This window comes from Homo sapiens, chromosome 22 (genome assembly GCF_000001405.40).
Source record: "Homo sapiens chromosome 22, GRCh38.p14 Primary Assembly".
In the NCBI taxonomy this organism is placed as follows: domain Eukaryota; kingdom Metazoa; phylum Chordata; class Mammalia; order Primates; family Hominidae; genus Homo; species Homo sapiens.
Window position 1 is genome coordinate 45156040 of NC_000022.11, and position 7772 is coordinate 45163811.

Consider the following 7772-nt stretch of genomic DNA (forward strand, 5'->3'; position numbering starts at 1 on the left):
ATCTAACACTAAGACCTCTTTCCCAGTAGAAGTCTGTACTGTCCATCCTTTCAACCACTAATGGTAAAACCAGGGCAGTATGCCTTTTTAAACTGTACCCTGAAGGTCAGAAATATACTGATTTCAGAAATGTCAAAGGTACATTTTTTAATCACAGAAATGGGGTATTTCCAATCCCAGCTTTAACTTGGTAAAGCCTTTCCTATTACCCTGCTATGGGCTCAGTTTTATTTCCCTCAAATTCTTATGTTGAAGACCTAACCCCCAGTACCTCAAAAAGTGACTACATTTGGAGAAAGGGCCTCGGAAGTAACTAAATTAAAATGAGGCAGTTAGAAATCCAGGGACTGGTGTTTTTTGTTTGTCTGTCTTTGAGACGGAGTTTTGCTCTTGTCGCCCAGGCTGGAATGCAATGTCACAATCTCGGCTCACTGCAACCTCTGCCTCCTGGGTTCAGGCGATTCTCCTGCCTCAGCCTTCCAAGTAGCTGGGACTACAGACGTGTACCACCATGCCCAGCTAATTTTTGTATTTTTAGCAGAGATGAGGTTTCACTGTGTTGGCCAGGCTGGTCTCGAACTCCTAACCTCAAGTGATCTGCCTGCCTCGGCCTCCCAAAGTGTTGGGATTACAGGCGCGAGCCACTGCGTCCGGCTTTATTTGTTTTTGAGATGGAGTCTTGCTCTGTTGCCCAGGCTGGAGTGCAGTGGTATGATCTCAGCTCACTGCAACCTCACCCTCCCCAGGTTCAAGCAATTCTCCTGCCTTTGCCTCCCAAGTAGCTGGGACCACAGGAGTGAGCTACCACTCCTGGCTAATTTTTGTATTTTCAGTAGAGACGGGGTTTTAACATACTGGTCCAGCTGGTCTCAAACTCCTGACCTCAAGTGATCCTCCTGTCTCAGCCTCCCAAAGTGTGGGGATTACAAGTGTGAGCCACCGTGCCCAGCCTGACTGGTGTTTGTATAAGGGATTAGAGACACAGACAAAATAGAGAGGGAAGACCATGAAGACACGGGGAGAAAGTGACCATCTAAAAGCCAAGGAGAGTCCTCAGAAGAAATTAACCCTGCTGACACCTTGATCTTGGATATCCAGACTCCAGGACGGTGAGGAAATCAATCTTTTGTTTAAACCACTCAGTCTGTGCTACATTGCTACAACAGCACAAGCAGACTAACACAGGCCCCAGTCTGAAATGGTCTCTCCCCTCCCTTCTCTCAGCTACCATTGGAACTTCATTTGGTATTTAATCAAGCACTGCTTCAATGTTATCTCGCCCACTAATATCTCACACAGTAAAACTGCTTACTACTTTTTTCCCATCCATTTTTTCTCCTGTCTCCCCAACCAGGTCCTTCACAAAGTCTATGAGTATAGGCTTTGCCTTACAAAATATACATCTTGAAATCTTTTGATGGCTGAGCCCTCCAGGCAGAAACCACCTGCTGCCAGGCCATGGGATGTGCTGGGGGCCAGCCGAAAAGGTCTGCTAAAGTCACAAAACTGAGAAAAAGTATGTGAAAGAGGGTGGAGACGGACAGGAGGAAAGAACTAAGTACAAGAGAGGGCCAGACACAAAGGGTAAAGCAGCAAGTAGGTCAACACAGTGAAAGCAATGACAGAGCATGTACAGGCAGACTGAGACCTGGTTTGGTACAAATCTCAAAGAGAGGGTCTTCCAGTCGTCACTGGTAAACTCAGCTCTTTCCCCACTTTGTATCGATTTACGCAGAGGACATTCAACTGTAAACGGTAACCAGGTTTTAGTCGCTGGCCAGGGAAGGGGCTCTTAACTCTAAATGCCCCTTCTCCCCAAACACTAGAAGGCATGGAGTTTTTAGGACTAGGTGTGGGACAGGAGAGGAATGTTAGCATGTGCAAAGTGAGACTCTAAATGTGCACACACAATTCATAAACATACGTCTTCATACATCACATGTACACAAAATGGTGGAGACTTTCTTTTAGGAGAAGGAATTTTAGCATTATAACGACATGATAATGATCTGAAGCCAACCAGGGGTTGCCTATCCTGTTCCGCTCTGCAGTCTTATCTTCCTCTGGTATCTGATAAGGGGTCAGGAAGCTCTGGCACCATCCTGGGGCCATCTGGTTTCTTTAAGCAGTTGTGCCTATAAAGGGACTGAAGAAAAATAGTAAGAAAAAGGAGATTTTCCAGTTATTTCATCCAGCACCCTCCCCCCACCTCTCCACCTCTATAAAACCCATCCATCCTAGGAGGTCATTTAGCTCCAAGATGTGAATGTTTAATCGCTTCTGCTTGCATCGATTTCTCCCTCCTCGGAATGCAGAACAATTTTTGCCCCATCATCATTGACTGGTGACATCTCTTGATGGTTTTATTATTTAATTGGCTAATTTTGTTCTCAGAAAAAAGATACGCTTTTATAAGCCACAGTATCTTTAAGTTTTTTTACGTACTATATATTGTTACTTTTTTAGTGACCATAAAGCCTCAAGAAAAAATAAATAACAGCATTAGAAAACTTAGCCATTACTTTTAATCCTTCTGCACTGAAGCCTAAAATATGAAAAAATGTGAAAAATAGAAGTTGTGAAAGTTTCTGAGTGTCCAGCAGATTGGAATCTCTAGGACAAAATAAGTCATGTGCTCTGCCCAAAGTCTCGAGGCAATCCAGTTGAATCCCAGTTTAGTTAAGTCTTTCTTAAAGAGCCAAATGTGTTCATATTGAAAGAGATTCAGTCTAGAATCTATGAATGGGGACAGGGAGTCCCTGACCTCTGGCCAACATTTCAAAAAGCCTACTGGAAATCATAAATCTAACTCATAATAAAACTGCTCTGGCTAAAACACAGCTCTTTGCTTTTAGCCAGAGTTACAGGAACTCAGCTCAATATTAGTGGCGGTCTAGAAGCCAAAACCGCCGAATGTCAGTCACACTTTTTTGTTTTTGTTCTTTTAAGCCTCAGTGGGGGTGAAAGTTATATTTTTGATCAGTTAAAAAAAAAATGAAACTGAATTCCCATTTCACAAATATTTTACTTGTGTTGAAACAAGGTCTTGCTCTGTCGCCCAGGCTGGAGTGCAGTGGTGCAATCACAGCTCACTACAACCTCGACCTCTCGGGGTTAAGCAATCCTCCCACGTCAGCCCTCCCAAGTAGCTAGAACCACCACGTGCCACCACGCCCAGCTAATTTAAACAGTTTTCGTAGAGATAGGGTTTTGCCATGTTGCCAAGGCTGGTCTCAAACTCCTGGGGTCAAGCGATCTGCCTACGTTGGCCTCCCAAAGTGCTGGGATTACAGGCGTGAGCCACCATGCCCGGCCTGTTTTTTAAAAATTTTCCATTTTTGTTTTTTGACGAGACGAGGTCTCATTATGTTGCTCAGTCTGGTCTCCAACTCCTGGGCTCAAGCAATCCTCCTGCCTTGGTCTCCCAAAGTGTTGGGATTACAGGTGTGAGCCACTACACCTGGCCAAAATATTTTACAGTAAAATATTTTAAAACAAGAATTAGAAAAATATTAGCATTAGAAAAAAATGAAAATCTTTTGAGCTGTTTAGGGGAGAAAGCTCCAAGGAACTTAAAAACAAGTGATACTGTCTTATTTAACAGTCCATTTACTCAGCCCCATACTGTGTGCTTTACCTAAGTGTTCACACTTAATCTGTACAACCAAATGAAGGTACATAATACACCCTCGCTTTACAGATGAGGAAACTTGAGCTCAGAGCTCAGTTTGTCCAAGGCTGCCAAGCTGGTAAGTGATACGGCCAGGAGATTAACTCCAAAGCCCCACTGCCAGGCAGATAACAGAACATTTCCTGTTTTCATTCCTTAACATTAGGAGCAAAGTGTAGTTCTGTAGGCTTCCTGTTGGGTGTTTTCTGGTAAATCGTAACAGGAATGACTCCAGGTCGAGGTTTAAGCCTACCTAAAATGAAGGCCAGAACACAGCTAGAACACAGCAATATTATCTTGCCATTTTCTTTGCTAGGTTAAACTGGGCTTGAATGATCTGAGACATTTATGACCTGATCACTGTGGCAAAACTGATACAAAGCTGGCTCCTGGCATGGACCTCTAACAGCAGAAAGAAAGGCAGGATCACATCACCATGGACTCATTTGGAATCAGGTAAAGTAGGTAAACTGACATGTCTGGGTATTTATTTACTGAACATGATGACAATGACCCAGCCTAACAACCATCACAGTCCTTTGGCTCTCAGGGGTTAAGCAAATTGAAAGGGATTTTTGAAAGGCAGAGTATAGGAAAAAAGGGCTAACACCTTTGGAGGAGTATTTCATAACATGAGACTTGAGCTTCATTAAAAGGAAGTAGCCAAATTCAATGGAGGTAGATGTCTGCGTGCAAAGTGCCTCCATTCTTCTGAGTTATAGCCAGTTTAAAGTTGTCATTTTAGCCAGCAATGAAATCCATCCAGTAAGGCGCAAGACAGCTACAGTGCTATCATATACATAAATCTTTTTTATTTGCATTAGAAAGGCATCAGTTATTTCAATGCTACAATGTGTAATTAAGTAAATGTGTTAATCATTTGGCTTACCCTTACAATACTGTATTATTCCAAGAATGAAAGTTCTGATTTTAACTAAGCCACAATTCAATGTTGAGTACAAGAAAGTCTACCTCTACCTAAGCTGCCTCTATCCCTGACATGGTCACAACCTAGAGATCAAGCAGCCAGTTTGTCAGAGGCATTGGAACCAGAGCAATTCCATCTTGAAGAGGCAGTAGGTAAAATCAGGCAGAGACCTGTTGGCTGCATTCTTAGTAGTCACAAGATGTTTAGGGTTACAGGAACAGATTAATAACGTTCACTAAACAAACCCAGGACTTAACAGACCCAGGAAACATTTTGATGTCGCTGTATCTGTTAGTCCAAACTGCACCATTTTCTTTCTTTCTTTTTTTTTTTTTTTTGAGATGGAGTCTCGCTCTGTTGCCCAGGCGGGAGTGCAGTGGGGCAATCTCAGCTCACTGCAAGCTCCGCCTCCTGGGTTCACGCCATTCTCCTGCCTCAGCCTCCTGAGTAGCTGGGACTACAGGCACCCGCTACCACGCCCGGCTAATTTTTTGTATTTTTAGTAGAGATAGGGTTTCACCATGTTGGCCAGGATGGTCTCGATCTCTTGACCTTGTGATCCACCCGCCTCAGCCTCCCAAAGTGCTGGGATTACAGGCGTGAGCCACCACGCCCTGCCAAACTGCACCATTTTCTAAGCCCCCCGCCATTTCGCAGACACTGGTCAAAGCGAAACATTCCACGGGGGTTCAGGCCGTGAGAAATTTCCTGCCCAACTTTCTTACCAAACCCTGTTGGGTAAAGGCCCAATTGAAGGAACATCCCTATCAAACCTTGCTCAGCAAAGGTGCAAGGAACATCACTGTCACTTTCTGAGGGAACAAGGGCCAAACTGCCTGATCATAGAACGTTTTATGGATAGATATACTGGTAAGTATATTCACATGGCAAGCCATACTGCCCATTCCCCTCCTGCCCTATAAGTACCCCAGCCTGTAAGCAGCAGTGGGCTCTGGCATTAAGCTGATCCCCCATCTCTGTAGGTTTTTGCCATATACCTGTGTTGCTGTTGAGCTGCCCTTTGTTTTTTTTTTTTTTTTTTTTTTTTTTTGAGACGCAGTCTCACTGTATTACCCAGCCTGGAGTGCAATGGCGTGATTTTGGCTCGCTGCAACCTCTGCCTCGCGGGTTCAAGTGATTCTCCTGCTTCAGCCTCCCAAGTAGCTGAGATTACAGGCATGTGCCACCACGCCCCGCTAATTTTTGTATTTTTAGTAGAGATGAGGTTTCACCATGTTGGTCGGGCTGGTCTCCCACTCCTGACCTCAGGTGATGCACCCGCCTCGGCCTCCCAAAGTGCTGGGATTACAGGCGTGAGCCACAGCGCCCGACCTGTGTGTCATTCTTTAACTCTCGTCTTCCCTTCAAAACCTAACAATATCTTAAGATCAAAAGCATTCTTCATTTAGGTTTCGCTTTAAAGATAATATAGATCTTTGCCAAAGTCAGTAAACAAAGATGAACAATCCTTGTGTCAGGCCTCTGAGCCCAAGCCAAGCCATCGCATCCCCTGTGACTTGTACGTATACGCCCAGATGGCCTGAAGTAACTGAAGAATCACAAAAGAAGTGAAAAGGCCCTGCCCCACCTTAACTGATGACATTCCACCATCGTGATTTGTTCCTGCCCAACCTTAACTAAGTGATTAACCCTGTGAATTTCCTTCTCCTGGCTCAGAAGCTCCCCCACTGAGCACCTTGTGACCCCCCACCCCTGCCCACCAGAGAACAACCCCCTTTGACTGTAATTTTCCATTACCTTCCCAAATCCTATAAAACGGCCCCACCCCTATCTCCCTTCGCTGACTGTCTTTTTGGACTCAGCCCGCCTGCACCCAGGTGAAATAAACAGCCATGTTGCTCACACAAATCCTGTTTGGTGGTCTCTTCACACGGACGCGCATGAAACCTTGGTCGTGGGCCCTCGTGGTAGAGCCCATGTCCCCCAAGATTTCTTTGGCTGTGTTACCTTAGATTTGAACAAGCACTGTACCTAAGGCGGGCGCCTTCCTCCTCCCGCTTTCAGGAATGCCCTGCTCTGCCATTCTTTTGCTTTCTCACTTCTCTAATACACTTGCTTTCACTTTAGTCCGTGGACTCGCCCCGAATTCTTTCCTACGCGACATCCAAGAAGCCTCTCGCTGGGTCTGAGTGGAGACCTCTTTCTGGTAATAAACGGACTAGGGAGATTCGACTTTGAAGGTGAAAACAAAAACCACCATCCAGTTTATAAGAAGGCGCTCGAGGCCGGGAACGGTGGCTCAGGCCTGTAATCCCAGCACTTTGGGAGGCTGAGGTGGTGGGGCGGGGGGAGGGAATCACCTGAGGTCACGAGTTCGAGACCAGCCTGACCAATATGGTGAAAACCCGTCTCTACTAAAAATATAAACATTAGCCGGGCGTGGTGGCGCACGACTGTAATCCCAACTACTCGGGAGGCTGAGGCAGGAGAATCGCTTGAATCCGGGAGGCAGAGGTTGCAGTAGGCCAAGATCGTGCCACTTCACTCCAGCCTGGGCGAACAAGTTAAACTCTCCATCTCAAAAAAAAAAAAAAAAAAAGGGCGGCACTGGAAACAGCTGGGAGTGACAGGGCCAGGGATGAGGGATCGCAAGCTGCTGGTGAGAAAGGAGCTCAGAGGCTGCCTGGCCTACGGGCCAGGAGACCTCAGCGCAAAAAGCGCAGGACTCGTTCCCCTGCTCTACAGCTGAGTGCCCAGGACGGATCTCACTGGCTGAAAAAAACAGAAGAGAAGGCACCCAATGCAAAATCAAATGTCAGCGAACGAGGGGTCCTTTAACAGGCGGCCCACACGGCCCCTCCTGGCGCCGAGACCCAGCCCCTCCGGGCCACCCCGGCCAGGTACGACCAGCAGGGTCACCTGCGCGCGTCCCCCGAGACGGGGCCTCCTGATGTGAAGCGACCCCAGTGGCACCTCACACGATTCCCGAGGGTTGCGGGCGGCCTCTCCTCAGCCCTGCAGCTCCCACACGCGGACACCGCGGGCCTCGGCCATGTCCACTGACCGACCTTCCTCGCCGGAACTCCTCGCGCATCGCCGGCCCCTCAGCGGCGACTAGCGCGCGAACATCCTGGAAGACGCGTTGCCGGCCCCACGTGAGCCGACGCCCCAAAGCGCGGCTGCTGGCGCCGGCTACGAGATCAAGGTCGGCGC

General features: G+C 47.0%; 1 long non-coding RNA gene across 1 annotated transcript in view, besides 2 other annotated features; it reads right to left on the minus strand.

Annotated features, from left to right (window-relative positions):
• Positions 1-7742, minus strand: part of NUP50-DT (NUP50 divergent transcript) — a 30024-nt gene extending 22282 nt beyond the window's left edge. Inside the window, exon 1 of the long non-coding RNA NR_038956.1 lies at positions 7538-7742. This is a non-coding gene — a long non-coding RNA (NUP50 divergent transcript). The remainder of the gene's footprint in view (positions 1-7537) is intronic.
• Positions 3669-3963: a silencer, noted in NCBI's record as "tiled region #5104; K562 Repressive DNase matched - State 8:EnhW". NCBI's record gives its function as "represses a minimal TATA promoter and a strong SV40 promoter by Sharpr-MPRA in K562 cells {active_cell/tissue: K562}" and the evidence as "EXISTENCE:reporter gene assay evidence [ECO:0000049][PMID:27701403]".
• Positions 7398-7447: a silencer, noted in NCBI's record as "silent region_13872". NCBI's record gives its function as "represses an Ori minimal core promoter by ATAC-STARR-seq in GM12878 lymphoblastoid cells {active_cell/tissue: GM12878}" and the evidence as "EXISTENCE:reporter gene assay evidence [ECO:0000049][PMID:35858748]".